We start from the raw sequence: 18492 nt of genomic DNA, 5'->3' as shown, positions 1-18492 counted from the left end.
AGTCCTAAGCTTGTTTTCCTGCAACTAGATTGTCCTGTGTGGGGGTGATGAGAGACAGTAACAGATCATCGGACATTAGATTCTCATAAGGAGCGTGCAACCTATATCCTTTGCATATGCAGTTTACAGTAGGGTTCATGCTCCTATGAGAAGCTAATGCCACCGCTGATCTGACAGGAGGCAGATCTCAGCGCATGCAAGTGATGGGGAGTGGCTGTAAATACAGATGAAGCTTCTTTCACTTTCCCAGCATTCACCCCGTGCTGTGTGGCCTGGTTCCTAACAGGCCATAGACCCATACCAGTTCGTGGCCTGGGGTTTTGGGACCCCTGGTTTAAAAAACTATTATATAAGAAATAAATATACAATGAAATAGGTCCCATAAATAAACAAGAACAATAGTATTTCAATTAATATTTTATGCACATTTTTGATAAAATGTTTTAAATCACCCCATAATACATACAAATGTAAATTCCAGATGAATTAATAGTAATTGATTTTTTAAAATGTTACACTAAAAAAGAAATCAAACAATTGAATGTATATCAAATCTCTGAATGGAGTAGAAAGCTTTTCTAAGTTACAAGCAATTTAAAAAACAAAGAAAGCAATAATTTAATAGAATAATAAAATAACTTCATAGATTGTGTGTTAAAAACTAAAACTAAAATGAAAGCCAAAATAAAAAATATTTTTGACAAATGTGACAGAGGAAAAGTATTTTTTTAAGTCTAAAAATATTAAATCGATAAAAGAATTAGAAAAAATTTACCTGAGTAGATGATATTCAGAAAAACAAACACAGTAGATAATAGACAATTGTAAAGTAAATACTTAACATAATTCAATGACATACTACTATCATGTAATAAATTAGATTTTTTTAAAATTATAATACCTAGTTCCAGGTAAAAAAGGACCTCCCAAACAATACTATAATATAAGTATAATATAACAGTTTTTATTTCTTGAGTGGTTATCATACAGTGGTCTTTATGTGGATTTATAAATGTTATTGCATGTAATCCTCCCAGTCCTTGGGAGAAAACTTTCTTAGAGTGGTTAAGTAATTTGCCCATGTCACATAGCTGGAATTGATTTCAGAACTAATTTCAATATAACATGGGTCATATAACCCAATATAACCTGGGTTATACTGTTTTTAAATTAGTTTCCTTGTATGACTCAACAGTTTTCAAATGGCCATGCCCTTTAGATCAATAATTTTATTACTGGTCATTAATTCTAAAGAAATATTCCTAAAAATGGAAAAAAATGTATGCACAAAGCTGTCCATCTCAGTTTTGTTTGACAGTGAAAGATTATAAACAATCTTTATGAATGACTATAGGAGAATAGTTGTATAAAGTACATCAAATAAATGGAATATTACTCAACCATTAACACTGTGATGAAAAGCATAAATAATACCAAAAATGATTATAATATTGTGGAAAATGAAAAAAACAAAATGTAATTATATATAAAGTACAAACGTGTCAAAACCACTGTGAATATAAATGCAAAGAAAATTCATCAAAATATTAACTTTGTATTCAGATTGGTAGGGCTGCAAGTGCTGCTTTTTTTCTATCTTTTTCTTCCTATTTATAATGAGTTTTAGATTTCCTTTTACAAAACAAAATGTCATATAAAAGTATGTATGATCTACTACAGAACGTCTAAACTTGGCTATATATTTTAAGCAGATACCATTGCATGTCCCTTTTGAATTTTTGTTATTGCTATTTGAAAATATCAGTTTCATACCCTAGCTTTGGCTTTTCTCCATCCTTTGAACCCAAGCATATGTAATATACCTATTTATTGCTTGCACACATGTATGTCAATGAATTATCATCCCATAATTATTACCTAATATGATAGAGAGAGCCACAGATCAGCTGAGATTATGAGACAGTGGTGCAGCAATCTTAGCTTTCTCTATCTGGTACTACCCTATTTTATTCTGAGATCCTAAATTCAATAAAGATCACCTAAGAGCACAGCATAAAATAAATTCTTTCAGTGATTTTGGGATTTTTCAATTAAACAGAATGTCTGTGTGTGGTAATGTGTGGATTTTATGAATGAACTATGTAAAAACACACTTTCCAATAGATATTTGAGGAATTTGACATCACAGTAAAAGTCGAAGATTGTCATATTTGGTTCTAGATCTTGCTGACTCTCAGTCCTTCATTTGCTATTCTATACATTGTAGTGCACAGTGAAAATTCATTTACTTATTCCAGGTTAAGAATTGTGGTTATTAAGATGATGGCTTGAGCTACCTATCAATAAAAGTATTTCGTAAGTGGTGGAGATAAATTTTGTAATATACTCAATTGAACAGAACATTTTAAATACTTGAGAAGTGGTCATTCATAGCTATTTTGGGGACACTATTTTTATTCTTACCCACCCATGGATGGGGCCTGAGAAATATCTTCAAAGTAGCTATGAGCTAATTTACATTGTTTTAATTTTAATTAGTCCAATTCAGCAGAGCTTCATTAAAATAACAGAATATGAGAAATCCAGGATAAAACTGTTTATACTCCATTGTACACGCATGAGTGTGTATGACTGTGGTTATGATTGTGTTTGAGGATGTGTGTGCTCTCTTCCCTGATGTAGAATGGAACACTGATGGCACAAAGCATGGCTTGAGAGAATTTTACCTCCCTTCCGCATGTCCATCAAACCCTTTTCTATATTTTTATATGCATAATAGATGTTTTCTCAGTCTTATAAGATATTCCATACAAATGCAGCTTTACATTCCATCTTACCTCTTTCTACAGCTAGATGGACAACCCTAAGACTCAATAAAAGTTCTGGAGCTGCCACTACCAGGGAGGTTAAGGGTCTCTGGGGACTTTCTTGCAGAGAACCCTTCCTTCTATCACCTTTTCCTGGATACTGGATAGACATGAGTATTCCATAGATACATTGTATGGGTAAGCATTTTACTACAAAACTTTCAGTGTGAAAGAAATCGAATTAAATTTTACTCTGAAACTCTGTCCTGCCAGAATGGTCAAGAGTGCAAATCACTATTAATTTTGGGGTTGAGGTGGAGTAGAGCTTCTCTTTCTTGGGATCCATAAAACTTCAATAACTTTATATAATATCCCCAAAATGAAAGGGTCTGCTTCAGTTCGTCACGTTCTCCACTGATTATATTCATCCATTCAACAAATATTGAGAACTTAATAATGGGCAGGCATTTTTCCAGGGACTAGGGACACTCAATGAGTTGGACATCACCATGCAGGCTCACACGGACATGTGGAGGCAGGCAGCTCTGTGATTCTGTGGCTCCAATGCTAAGTTTGAGCATTGATGAGTTTGCTGATGCTTTGTGTCACAGGCCCAAGGAACAGCTTCTCCAAGTCTGCTCTGTAGCCCTTCCCCTTTCAGGTCTTGTTAACTGCAGTCATCTCTGACACTGGCTCTTACTTTCTCTGTCCCTCTTTACTCTCTTTCCTTCTCTATGTATACTAAAAGCACTCTCCACTTCTCTCTTTCTTCAATATATTTTCCCCAGAAAACCACAGGCCAGAAACCAGGTTGTCTGTAAGCAACTTTTGTTTTTTGTCCTCTAACACAAACCTCCTTTCTGGCAAGCTGGCACAAAGATCTGGCTTGGAAAAAAAGTATATGGGGGAAAGAGCATGGAAAGAGAAGTAAACACAGGTGTGTATGTCAATAAAATACCTTGCGTGAAGTGTGGTGAAGTCCTAGAGAGGCTTGACTTTCCCAAGGCCAGTTCATGTTTAGTTTTCCAGAGATTTTTATTAAACAAGCTCAGTCTGATCCTTTATGAAATTGAGTATAAATTTATTTTTGAAATAGGTCAAAGGATTTAAGGTCAGAGCCCATGGGTTCTAACATTTATAGGATTCTGGATCTTATTTCTGTATTGGATCCAAAGTGAAAATAGAGAACCAGAAACATTCTGGGATTTTTAAATCTATTTTTCTTTTGAAAGCTTCCTATTTCCTTTATTCTTTGCCAATTCTCAATTACCCAGATACAATTATTTTGAGATTGATGCTACTGGTAGAGAATAATAGTTATAGTTACTTATGTAAAAGAAAAATCATATCTACTTCATTTGTATCTCCAGTAGGAAGAGAATATTCAGTCACTGGGATAAAGTAAGAGCAAATAAATCAAAGGGAATTTCAGGAATGCATCATACCCAGAGCATTCTGTGACAGCTCAGCTCTTTTACAATCAAAGCTAAATTTTGCGGTTTTTGAAGCCAGCCCTTATTTGAGAGTCTAAACATCAATGAGTTGATGTAAGAGGGAATATAATTTGGTCTTAGAATGGTATATAAATAGCAGTGCAGATAAATGAGGGGTACAAACTATAATTTGCACAATTTTCTAAATCATTTTCACAGCAAGTTTCATGGAAAATAGCATTTAACTTTGACTTTGGTCAGCTTTGGCATTTCTGTACTTGAGGGTGACTATTGATTACTTGAATACTAAACTATTTTCACTCTTTTTCTACAGTCCGCTTTTTGCTAGTTCCTGGTTCAGAAGGAAGCCTTGTGAATGGGATGGTGATCCCTTTATGATAAATAATGTATTCCTGCACTTTATCTAGTCCCTACCATCATTGCCCCAAAACAGTTCTCTGTCTTGTTACCAGGATATGCCCTTTCCTACATATCTGGATTTCCTTGGTAGGAATCCAGATTTCATTTCAAGTATTAGACAGTGCAAGAATAATACATAAAAACATAACAAATATGCTTTAATGCAAGTTGGCCAAGCGATTTGGTAAGATTTATTACCCTCAAAGGCAAATGTTTAAGTGGTCTCCTTTAAAATAGAGTTTCTATAGAAACTTTTAGTTTTGGAATATTTGTATATTACATATATTTACATCCAGCTGGATATGGGCATAAGGAGAAGACTCATAACTTCATCTCTGCTATGGTGGCTGGAAACAAAAGGTGGGGTGGGATGGCTGATCTGGTCTTCTACAAATATAGGAGTGGAATAGGTGCTCCAGATCAGAAGTAATGGTAACCCTATTTCCAGGGAATTATTTTTGAGGCTCAATTTTTGCTCAAAAATTGAGCAAAAATTTTTGAGTAGAGTATTTCTTAAGTTTTAGTAATACTACTGGAAATGTTTTACATTTCTAAGTGATTTAACTAATATTTCTGCATCACACATTTGCCAGGCCTGCTTCCTCAAACTGTTTGTAGAAAGGAAGAAAGAAGAAAGTATGGGGTGAGAGGCAAGAAAAAGAGGACCCAAAGTCATGAAATGTATCCAATGCAATAAACTTTTCTAGGTATTTTCATAAGGCATCAATCATATATAGATCTATATAATTTGAGGCTCAATTTATGATATTATTTATATTTGTAGTAACTTATTTGAATCTGAGAGCCTCAATATCACACAAGAGCCTGAAATATTAATTTACACGTATAAGCACATTAATCAGTCTCAATGTCAAAATGACCCAGAGTGAGTGGATACAATGAAAGTGAAATGAATCAGACTTTCCTTTTCAAAATCATTCTTAATAATTAAAAACACTCACTTCTCTACGAAAAAAAATCCAGTTCTTTGCAAAATTTGAAATGCATAATATAAGCTTTTGCATCCAAGACATGACAGTGCTTATCTCTTACCACAATAATAAAACTATATGTGAGTTCTTTCTATGTACCAGTGATTATGCTAATATCTGTACCAATATTCCCTTCATTATTACATCTTGAGATAGATACAGTCTCCTTCAATTTAGAAGAAGAAGTTGTGATTAGCTAAGGCCTAATGAGTGTTATGCTGTAGTCTAAGATTCTAATCTAGGGCTGCCTAACTTCAAAGTCCGTGCTCTTACATTAGGAATCTTATAGCTTTAATAGGAATATAACATTGACACTAGACATGAAAAAATCATGTTTGAAAGAGAAAGCATCTAGAACCTTGTGCATCTATCACTTACTAAGGGTAAACTAATCACAGATCAAGTTCAAGGAAAGGAAGCATTCAGGAGATGGTCAGCCACCCAAAACCAGGCAAAAACACAAAGGCAAATACAAAGGCAAAAACACAGAAATGGAAAACATGGTGAAGTGAAGGTACTGTGGGAAAGTAACTTTAAGAGATGGGACATTTATATCTGACATCTAAGCCGGTAAGAAACATAAAAAGACAAAATTAATTAACTTTAAAAACATTGAGTGCATCCTATGTGCTAGGAGAGAGGCATGTGCCAGGGATATAGTAATGAGTCTTAGAGAAAAATGAGATACGATATCAGTTAGGATTCCTTTGGTTGCAAGTAGTGGAATACTTGACCCAAACCAGTTCAAGCAAAAAGTGATGATACTGAGATCTTAACTGAAATAATTGGGCTGTTCAAGGGGCCATCCAGTTTCAGGCATGGCTTGAGTTGGAACTCAATGCCACTAGAGAGTCACCTAAGTCCAGCCCCTAGCGATTTTTTTCTTTTCTTTCTTTTTTCTTTTCTTTTTATTTTGAGATGGAATGTTACTCTGTTGCCCAGGCTGCAACCCCTGCCTCCCGAGTTCAACTGATTCTCCTACCTCAGCCTCCTGAGTAGCTGGGATTACAGGCACATGCAATCATGCCTGGCTAATTTTTATATTTTTAGTAGAGACAGGGTTTCACCATGATGGTCAGGCTGGTCTTGAATTCCTGACCTCAAGCAATCCACCTGCCTTGGCCTCCCAAACTGCTTGGATTATAGGCATGAGCCACCGCGCCTGGCCTCTCTTAGCGATTTCATGTTTACATTTGGTTCTACTTTATCCTCTGGGTGAGAGGTTGAGAGAAACTAATGTTAAATAAGGACAAACGTTCTGGAATTGAACCTTATTGGTTCTGATTTGCCTGGCTTGAGTGTAATCATCCATGAAGCAATCACTGTGACTAAGGGGATACAATGCACAGATTGAATTAGCCTAAAGCAGGTGCTCTAGTCTTGGAGCCTACAGGTCGTGGAGTTAGCACCCATGCCAAATAAGTGTAAATGGACAAACCAAAATTGGGATCCTAATGTCAAATGAGGAAGGAATGGACCCTAGGTGATGAAAACAAATATTGCATCTAAAAGCCAAATGAAAATAGGACAGACAAGTGGGAGAATAAAAATAAACAGCAGTGGTAAAAATTTAAAAACTGGAGCTGATTCTAAAATAAATGTCGAAAAAGAAAAACAAAGTAGATAATTTTTGGAAATGGTAAGGACTAGTGACCAGAGAATTGGGTATTGAGGATGTGTGAAAGACAGAGGAAAGGTAAAGGTAGGGATGAATAAATAAATGTTAATAATAAGATTATTTAATCTGATAGGATTGTTAAACACTATTATTAAAGTAGCTTCATAATAGTTCAGTAGATTTTAAAATATATAGTAATAATAAGGTCACTTCATGGGGAAGATCCCAACTTCAAACTATCTATTATGGTTCATTGATGTTTTTCCAACAGTGCTCTAAGACAAGAGTTGGCACACTTTTTTCGTAGAAGGCCAGATAGTAAATATATTAGGTTTTGCTGGCCATGTGGTCTCTACTACTCAACTCTGCCATTGTAGTACAAAAACTGCCACAGGTGATATATAAATAAATGAGTATGGCTGTATTCCAATAAAACTGTATTTATAGATGCTGAAATTTTAATTTCATATTTTTCACATCTCAGGAAATATTCTTTTAGGACTTTTGCAATCATTGAAAAGGTAAAAACAATTCTGGGTTTCAGAGTGGTTTAAAAAAGAGGAAATGGGTCAGATTTGGCCTGTGCACCTTGTCATAGTTTGCTTACTCTGTTCTAAAATAATCAGTTACATGTTTCCAGAAGATTACCTAGAAAATGTGAAAGAATCATTGAAAGGAAAGAGGCAGTAAGGAAAGCTATTGCTTTCCATTAGACCATTGCACTAATCCAGGTTGAAGTAAGTTTGATATAGATGTGTTGAAAGTCTTGGTTGAGAAAGGAAAACTAACTAGATGACAAATTAAACTTTGTTATAGAGAGTTAGGCGCATCAAAGAAATAACCTGGAGTGATTAGGTAGAGAGTTGTATTAAAGCTGGTGATTCAAGCAGGGGAAGAAATGAGTAATACAACCCATGGAGGTAGAATGTATTCCCTTGGACTTGAGGGATGTAGTTGGGGGTCAGTTCAGTGATGGCAGTACTAGAACCTCAGAATGGAAATGGAGGGACAGTGCCACAGATGCTCAGGGTCTGTGATTGTGCTTGGCATATTTGGATGCTTTTGGGGGAGATGGTTTTTCACTTCTCTTGAGTTACTTGGAAAATAAGCATTTCAGTGATACACATTATGGACTGTCTTAGTTTTGTTTGTGCTGCTATAACAAATACTTGAGATTGGGTAATTTATAAATAATGGAAATTTATTTCTCACAGTTCTGGAGGTTGGGAAGCCCAAGATCAAGGTACCAGCCAGTCTGGTGCCTGACAGCCAGGTCTCTGCTTCCAAGATGGCACCTTGAATGCCGTGTCCTCATGTGGCGGAAGGTAAAAGGGCAAAAGTGCCAAAGGCTGTGTGAAGCCTCTTTTATTTTATTTTACTCATTATTTTCAACTTTTGTTTTAGATTCAGGGAGTACATGTGCAGTTTTGTTGCCTGGGTATATTGCATGATGCTGAGGTTTGGGGTATGAATGATTCTGTCACCCAGGCACTGAGCATAGTACCCAGAGTTAGTTTTTCAACTCTTTACTCCCTCCCTTCCTGCCTCCTCTAGTAGTTCCTGATGTCTATTGTTGCCAACTTTATGGCCATGAGTACCCAATGTTTAGCCTCCACTTATAAGTAAGAACGTACAGTATTTGGTTTTCTGTTTGTGTGTTAATTTGATTAGGATAATGGCATCCAGCTGCATCCATATTGCAGCAAAGGACATTATTTCTCTTTTTAAAAATAGCAGAATGGAATTCTGCAGTGTATATATGCCACATTTTCTTTATTCAGTCCACCATGGATGGGCACCTAGGTTGATTCCATGTCCTTGCTATTGTGAATAGTGTTGGGATGAACATGTGAGTGCATATATCTTTTTGGTAGAATGGTTTGTTTTCTTTTGGGTATATACCCAGTAATGGGATTGCTTGGTTGAATGGTATTTCTGTTTTAAATTATTTGAGATATCTCCAAACCACCTTCCACAGCAGCTGAACTAATTTACATTCCCACCAACAGAGTATAAGTGTTCCCTTTTCTCTGTAGCTGCATCAACATCTGTTGTTTTTTCTTTTTAATAATAGTCATTTTGATGAGTGTGAGATGGTATCTCATTGTGGTTTTGATTTGCATTTCTCTGGTGATTTGTGATGTGAAACACTTTTTCATATGTTTGTTGGCCACTTGCATGTCTTCTTTTGAGAAGTGTCTGTTCATGTCTTTTGCCAATTTTTTAAATGGGGTTTATTTTTTGCCTGTTCAATTGTTTAAGTTCCTCATAGATTCTAGATATTAGACCTCTGTTGGATGCATATTTTGTGAATATTTTCTGTTATTCTGTAGGCTGTTTATTTCTGCCATTCTGTAAGCTGTTTATTTCCCAAGGCCAATGTCTAGAATGGTGTCTCCTAGGTTTTCTTGTCAGTTTCTTATAGTTTGAGGTCTTACATTTAAATCTTTAATCCATCTTGAGTTTATTTTGTATATGGTGAAAGGTAGGAGTACAGTTTCATTCTTCTGTATATGGCTTGCCAGCTGTCCCAGCACCATTTACTGAATTATTTTTGTTGACTTTGTTGAAGATCAGATGCTTGTGAGTGTGTGGCTTTATTTCTGTGTTCTCTATTCTGTTCCACTGGTGTGCGTGTCTGTTTTTGTACTAGTACCATGCTGTGTTTTGGTTACTGTAACCTTTGAGTTTGAAGCCAAGTAATGTGATTCTTCTGGCTTTGTTCTTTTCACTTAGGATTCCTTTGCGGTTTGGCTCTTTTTTGGCTCCATATGAATTTTAGAATAATTTTTTTTTGAGATGGAGTCTTGCTCTGTCACAATGCTGGAGTGCAGTGCATGATCTTGGTTCACTGTAACCTCCACCTCCCAGGTTCAAGCGATTCTCCTGCCTCAGCCTCCCGAGTAGCTAGGACTACAGGCGCATGCCACCACACCCAGCTAATTTTTGTATTTTCTGTAGAAACAGGATTTCACCATGTTGGCCAGGATGGTCTCCATCTCCAGACCTCATGATCCACCTGCCTTTGCCTCCCAAAGTGCTGGGATTATAGGCATGAGCCACCGCACCTGGCTGAATTTTAGAATAATTTTTTTACAATTCTGCGAAAAATGACATTGGTAGTTTAATAGGAGTAGCATTGAATCTATAGATTGCTTTGGGCAGTTTGTCCATTTTAACAATATTGATTCTTCCAATGCATGAGCATAGAATGTTTTTTCCATTTGTTTGTGTTATCTGTGATTTCTTTTAGCAGTGTTTTGTAGTTCTGCTTGTAGAGATCATTCAGCTCCTTGGTTAGACATATTCATAGGGTTTTTTTTTTTGTAGCTATTTGTAAATGGGATTCCATTCTTGATTTGGCTCTCAACATGAATGTTATTGATGTATAGAAATGATAGTGATTTTTGTAAATTTATTTTTTATGCTGAAATCTTGCTAAAATTATTTCAGTTCTAATAGTCTTTTGTCGGAGTGTTTAGGGTTTTCTCAGTATAGAATCATACAGTCAGTGAAGAGAGATAGTTTGACTTCTCCTTCTCCTGTTTGAATGCCTTTTATTTCTTTTTCTTGCCTAATTCCTCTGGCTAGCACTTTCAGTACTATACTGAATAGGAATGGTAAGAGTGGATATCCTTGTCTTGTCCCAGTTCTTAAGTGGAATGTGAGGCCTCTTTTATAAAGGCCTCAATCCTATTCACAAGCAAAAAGCCCTCATGGTCTAACCACCTCCTAACAGCCCTGCCTCTTAATATTATTGCATTGGAAATAAAGTTTCAATATGAATTTTGGAGGGAGACATAATCATTCAAACCATAGGATGGACTAAAGACTGAAAGTCTTCCTTTTTTCTGTATTTTACAAGCTCCTGTGTTCTTTAATAATCTTGAGGAAACAGGAAGCATCTTTTGGAAAAAAACTGAGTTGGACTTTCTGTTATTAGGATGGGTACATATTGAGCAGATCAAATTTCAGGCAATTTCTTCCCCTGAATTCTAATGTTATAGGCAAATGTATACCAATAACTAATAGGATATTTAAATTTTTGCTAAGAAATATTTTAATTTAGAGATGACATTGTATCTCTGCATTGATTTTAGGTAGTTATAATATACTAGAGGGTAATCAGATTTTATCCTTAACCAAGTCACAAACTCCAACTACATATAGCAACAAAGAAGCAGTCATGTCTTCTTGAAACTTCAGACACTGTGTATAATGTGAGAAAGTAAAGGTACATAGCTTGACATAAACATGACCCCTCCTGGAAGAAGAAACTCCAAGCATGGGTCCTTCACCCTTTGAAACAGAAGAGAATCCATCCATGTGAAGTGCAATCTGTGAAGCATTTATATATGAAGCATAGCATTGTCAGTGCACAATGAATGTAGAGTTTCTTTGTAAGATAATTTATCAAATAGAAAAGAATTTATAGGCATGATGCCAGTGAATTCTTGCTGTAGTGCATTTGTAACTTTTATTCCATTTGCAGTATTCAATTTATATTAAAGTTAAATTTAATAGGCTTTATACAAAGAAGTTATTTCTAAGACATTTTTCAAAGGGTCTGTTCAATGAAGTATTGCTAATGGTCACTTAATCATCCAACTAAGGCACAGATAAAGCACTATGGGAAGTAAAATGGTGTGTGCAAAGCTATTCTATTTACATAAGCAATGGAAAGAAAATGGAAGTCTTAAGTATCCTCACTGAGCTCTCTACCACGATTATTATTCCTCTTTATTTTTTCTTCCCCAATTTTACTAACATATACACTTTTATCATCTTGGGTAATGTCTGTTTAAGAGGAGAAAGAATCATTTGGATTAATGTATTTATTTCCCCTGTACTTGGAATTTTCTTATTCCTTTATTTTTTTGTTTGAAAATAGTTAATGAGTACCTATTAAATACCAGACATTAAACTAGATGTTTGGGAAACAAAGATAAAAAAGACAAAATCATAGTCTAAAGCAGTTGTTCTCATAAGGTGGTCAAGGACAAATATCATTAGCATCAGCCTAGAACTTGTTAGAAATGCAAATACTCAGGCTTCCCATTTCACCCAATAATATGTGTTTTAACAGCTCCTCCAGTGTAGGTGATTCTCTTCTACACTCAGTTTTGGGAACCACTTATCTAACAAAAGAAAGACATGCAATTATAGTTGCAAAACATTTTAACAAGGTGAATAAGAGTTATGTATAAATTCCTATTGGAATGGAGAGGAGGAAGCTTCTAACCTCTTCTATATTTAGTATAGAAAATACATGCTCTATCTAAGATGCACATATGTTCTTGGCATCCTTCCCATGCAAAAAACACTTCATTGCTCTCTATTGCTTTCAGAATAAAGTCCAGGATTCCTAGCATGCCATTTGAGAGTTTCCAGGCTTTAGCCTCTGCCTGTTCTCTAGCCTCATCTCTTGCCACTCCATCAACTTTATACAGTTTGTAGCACTCAAACACACTATACTATTTTCATCTTTATTCTGCCTACAGTATCTTTACTTCAGATGTATTCACAACATTGTACAACATTATGACTCCACTAAGGAGTAATCTGCTAAGGGAAGTCTTTCCTAACTCTTCCCTATGGTTGTCTCAGCTTGTCTTCATGTGTTTGGGCTGCTGTAACGAAAATGCCGTAAGTTGGGTGGCTTACAAATAACAGAAATTTATTTCTTACAGTTTTAGTGGTTAGGAAGTTCAAGATCAATGCATCAATGCAACTGTGTGGATTTGACATCTGGTGACACCCCATTCCTCAAAGATGGTACCCTCTATGTGTCCCCACATGACTGAAGGGATGAACAAGCTCTCTTAAGCCTCTTTTATAAGGGCACTAATCCTATTAATGAGAGCCCTCATAATTTATCACCTGCTAATGGCTCCACCTTTTAATACCAACAGATTGAGGATTATGTTTCAACATATGAATTTTCAAGGGACACAAACTTCAATTATAGCACAGCTCACCTGTATAAAATTACATCATGGAATTCATTACCATTACATTGCTTCTCAGCATATCTGTCCATCTCTGACAAGTAATTGTTAGTTGCTGCAAAGAAGAAAGTTTAGTGTACCTTTTTATGTTCTTAATACCCATGCAATGTCTGGGACTGAATGGAAGTACAGAGAGTTTGCTGAGTATATTTTAAGAAAGGAGTATATTTCTTTTATGAGAAGTTTCTGTATTACATGGTTAGACTTTCGGGTGTATTCCTTTCCTTCAACTCCAGAATTATTTAGCCAGTCTATTGTGTTTAAAATTTCCTCTGATTTTCACACTTTTGAATTATGAAAAATTGTTGGAAAATGTTTTAAAATGAGAATTTCAAATATGCTAATTGATATTAATGGTAAACATATTTATAACTTTTGTAATTTTATGTGGATATCTGAAAAAATGCTTTACTCTCAGTCGTCAGAAGACATTGCCCAGAATAGAGGCTCGTCTCTCTGTAAAGGACATTATTAAGTGATTGCTCGCCATCTTGTCATGTTACACCAACTTTATCATTCTGTGCAAGGCTATATATATATATATACACATATATATATACACACACATATATATATATACACATATATATATACACATACATATATATATACACATATATTCTGAGATGGAATTTTGCTCTTGTTGCCCAGGCTGGAGCATGCAATCTCAGCTCACCACAACCTTTGCCTCCTAGGTTCAAGCGATTCTCCTGCCTCAGCCTCCTGAGTAGCTGGGATTACAAGCATACACCATCATGCCTGGCTAATTTTGTATTTTTAGTGGAGATGCTGTTTCTCCATGTTGGTCAGGCTGGTCTCTAACTCCTGACCTCAGGTCATCCACCAGCCTCAGCCTCCCAAAGAGCTGGGATTACAGGAGTGAGCCACCACACCTGGCCAACACTTTGTCTTAATCATTCTTCTTAAACATTTATTCAAAGGTTTAATGGACACCTATTATGTGCTAGGTGCTAGAATTAGAGTGATATAATGTAAATACCACTTATTGAGAATTTTGATAGACATTGAGAATACTGCATACATATTATTGATGCTAATTCTAACTATAACCCATGAAGTAGGAACCATTATAGTTTTACGAGAAGAGAGATTAAATAATTTGCTTAAGGTCACATGCCTAGTAAATTACAGAGCCCCAGAAATGAACTCAGATTGCCCTGATGTTATTATCTAATAACGTTCTTATTGGTCTCCTTCTGAGCTTCATGCTACCTGTTGGTTAGATATATTTAACTTCATTTTATATATCTTTCTTTCATAGATGTCATTGTCATCACATATGAAATTTTGGATGCCTAGCAATCAATCTCACTTTAGATTGGAAACTTTTAGAGGTAGACACCATTTATTCCTAGATCCTTCGTACAAAGGATCTATATTGCTCTGCTGTTTTATGTGTAAACAGTGCCTTTTAAAGAAGTTTAGATTATCAGATACTGCAAATTGCTTCAATTCAATTTTCACACCATTCATTCATTGCAAAAATGTTGATTAAACATCTATTATGTATGAGATACGTTTAGGCCCTGGAGCTATACAGAGAAGGAGATAAAGTTTTTCTCCTTGGAGAGATTATATCAAATAGACAAAGAGAGACAGATAAACAGGTAATTACTATACAGAGTGATAAGTGTACAGAGAACTGTGGATATACAATTGAAGGACACATTATGACCTAGACTTGGGGCTTGAGGAAGAGTTACAAATGAATTCTTAGAAAAATAATAAACCAAATACCTGAAAGTCCTGAAGAACCAGTGGAAGTTATGCTAGGGGAGGAGAAGACTGTTCTGTGTAGATGGAATTGTTTAGACAAAAATCTGGAGGCCAAAGTTTACATTCACAGTACATGTCAGAAAAGGAAAGATAGAAGCTTAGGGTGGAGGTCTTTCGTTTTACAATGACTTCAGACCCTGTCCTGATAAAAATAGGAAATTGGTGAAGGGATTTAAATAGAACAGTAGCAGATCTGAATTTTGCAAAAGTTCCTTTGGTTGCTGTATGGAAAATCAAGTGGATAAAATAAATAATAGAAGCAAGGAAATACATGAAGTGGCTGTGACCCAAATTCAGCAGCACATAATGGTGAACTAGAGTGGAGGCATTGGTTTCAAGAGAAATGTGTAGACTAAAAAGGTATCTTTAAGAAGTAGAATGGATAGGACTTTGTGATAGATTGTAGGTGGCAGAGGAATCCAAGGGAGATATCAGAGATAACATTCTGGTTTCTGACTTGGACAGCTTTCACTAGGCTAGGGAATTCAGGGTATGAATGCTCTTTAGAGAGGAAGATAATGAGTTCTGGTTTTGACAGGTTGAAGTTAGTAAAAAAAATCTTAGTGTAGGTTGGGACTCTACTGATCATGAAGAGATTTGCAGATAAAGAAGCTAACTATTAGAAATGAACTGACTACAGTGTGTCAAATGGTTTTGTAAAACTGAAATTATTATCTTAGATTAATTCTTTTTGAGTTTAGTGTAAAGCAGAAGTTCAAATTTCCTCATAACTCCTAAAAATACTAAATGCATATTTTGATGTGATGCAAAGTAACTATTTAAACTTAGTTTCAATTGGCATAATTCCAGCCACTAAGATTCTATAATTGGAAACAGATATCCTCACAGATCTTCAATTCATCAGCCATCCCACAGGTACCACTGAACATATAGTTTCTTAATATTTCAAAATTCCTGAGCTCAAATTTTAATTTTTATTGGAATTCAGATTATTGAAATGAATCCTACATCATAAACTCTAGCACAATATTTTTGGGTGTTTTCATTAATTGAAACATATAATTGATTGAGGAAAGAATAATAAATGTGCTCATAAGATTTCAGAAGGTAGTTTTTTTTTTTTTTTGCTTAGCTTCACAAAGCCTTATCTCAGAGGAATTCATCCTCCTCATTATATTACCTTGATAAAACTAGTAAGAAAGAGCTCATCACCAGTTAATGGGAAATGTCATTGAATCATCAGCATCTAGTAGGTCGTATTATAATTTACTTTAGTCAACTTGTGATATATTAGGCTTTTTTTCTATTAACTAGCTGACAATAAATGCAGCGTTTAAATTTTGAAGCTGATTCTGTATTTTATGCCATTGTGAATACAAGAGTGCTTTCCTAGGTATGTAAAGAGCTTCTACCAGCTGGTGGTGGTGAATCAACACACTTCAGCTGGGCACCCAGAGAGAAGTATGCTATTGTTAGACTGTTGACCCAGGTTTCTATGGCCATAGAATTGCCCACCTAGAGATCACATCAGCATGCATGGTATCAAATAGTGGAACATGAATAGAGTCAAATAATCTGTCATAAGTACAATCAGTCTGATGAAAATGATCTGGCTCAAATCCCTGAACAAAGACTGTGCCACTGAAAAATTCAATTGAAGCATATGTTTTGCAGGTCTGAAATAAAAATTCATTCACTCCACAGTAAAAATAACACTTGGGGAACTTTGTATTCATCTGGCAGAATCATTTAGATTAAAGCAACCATAAGTGAAAAGCACAACACCTAGCAAACGCCATTGAATCTGACATCTTTCTAGGTTTCATCAGAGTCTTTTACAGCCCTTTTTCCTTGCTAGCTAGATCAACCTGATTCTAAAAAATGCAGTAGAGAAACAAAGTAACATAATCAGAGATGGTATTATAAGGTCTATTAACAAAGCAGCTCAGTCATATCAGCTGAAGGGAAACAGCTGTGGATGCTGAAACCCTTAATACATTAACCCTTGTGTTGCTATTTATAAGAACCCTCTGTCTGTCATCATGCCTGTTGTGTCTGTCATTTGCACCTGGTATGAGGGTCTTATGGAACAATCATATATCATTTACATGCAGTCAAGAGCCAATGCATTGTAGAATCATTATTCCTAAATGCTGAACTCCTTTGAATTTAAAGAAAAAAATGCATGAGTACATAATTAAATTGATAATACATTACATCGAAATTCATTACCTGGAAGATATGCATAACTTAAAAAAATTTTTTTTGAGTTCCTGTGTTTTTTGAATGGAGATCCTTAATTAATCCTATTCATTGTCAAGTTTAACCATGATTTAGGATGTCATTCAAATGCATGTTCCTGCTCAAAATGAAAACTGTCAATCAACTTAAATATATACATTTATATATATATATATACACATATATATATATATATATATTTCACTTTTCTCCATCACCATGATGGTCTTCATTTTCTCAGAAAAAAAAAGAAATCATTCTGTTCTTTCTTTAGAGCGATGTCTCTAACAAGGCAATTGCCTAGTCAAAGAATTGAAAAGCTCTTTGGACAATGTGAAAACTTTCCACTTAACCACAGACAATTGTGTTTTCTTTTCTTGAGTTTTTGCTTACCAGTAGCAAATGTCTATGGTTACTAGGAATGTGTTATTGTTTTCCAGAAGGCCTGACCTCTACCTAAATTTGGATTTGACGTATCCAAAGTTCAACCAAATAGAGAGGGGGAAGATGATCACTGAAGTCACCAAAAGCGTAATATATCATGGAGAATTTTAGCTGCTTCTGCCCCTCGCAACTCATGAAAACACACTAGCACCAAGCAAAAGAATTATTTTAGAATATGCTTAGGATAAGAACCTCTCTTATTTAAATAAAATGACCTGAGGATTCCATTATCTCAAAATGGATCTACTCAAATTACAATGCATGTTTTTGACTATTTGTGTAACTATGGAAAACCGAAGTAAAGGCATTGGTGCAAGCTGCGGATTGGCTCAACTGAAATGCCTTCCAACACCAAAGAGCATGCAGAAGCTCACACATTTCTTAGACTACCTTGCAGTTAGGGTTTCATGTATGACTGAAGTTTCACCAACTAGATGATCTCAAGCAAAACTTTGAGTCAGGAATTTGTTCTATGAAAAGAGAAGCAATTTGGAAATAGCCACTTTGAAGGTATAGAACATGGCAGAAGTGGCTGGTTCTGAAGGTGACAGCTGTAGGGCAGCTTCCTAGTTTAGCAAATAAAGTACTGCTTTCATAGTCCTGCTGAAGGAGGGGTAGCTTTCCTGTTGAGAAAGGAAAAAAGGAAAACTGAGTCACTCTCAGTAACTTGGGAAGCAGTGATTGAGGGCAATTTTGTTAAGATCAAGAACGTTCTAAGACCAAACATTGTTATGTTCTTGAATATTGTCTCACCTTCATTACTACTCATCAGTATTTATATTTGTTAAATAATAAATATCTTTCTATTCA

The sequence above is a fragment of the Homo sapiens genome, chromosome 12 (assembly GCF_000001405.40).
Source record: "Homo sapiens chromosome 12, GRCh38.p14 Primary Assembly".
NCBI lineage: Eukaryota > Metazoa > Chordata > Mammalia > Primates > Hominidae > Homo > Homo sapiens.
This window is presented reverse-complemented; position numbering follows the sequence as displayed.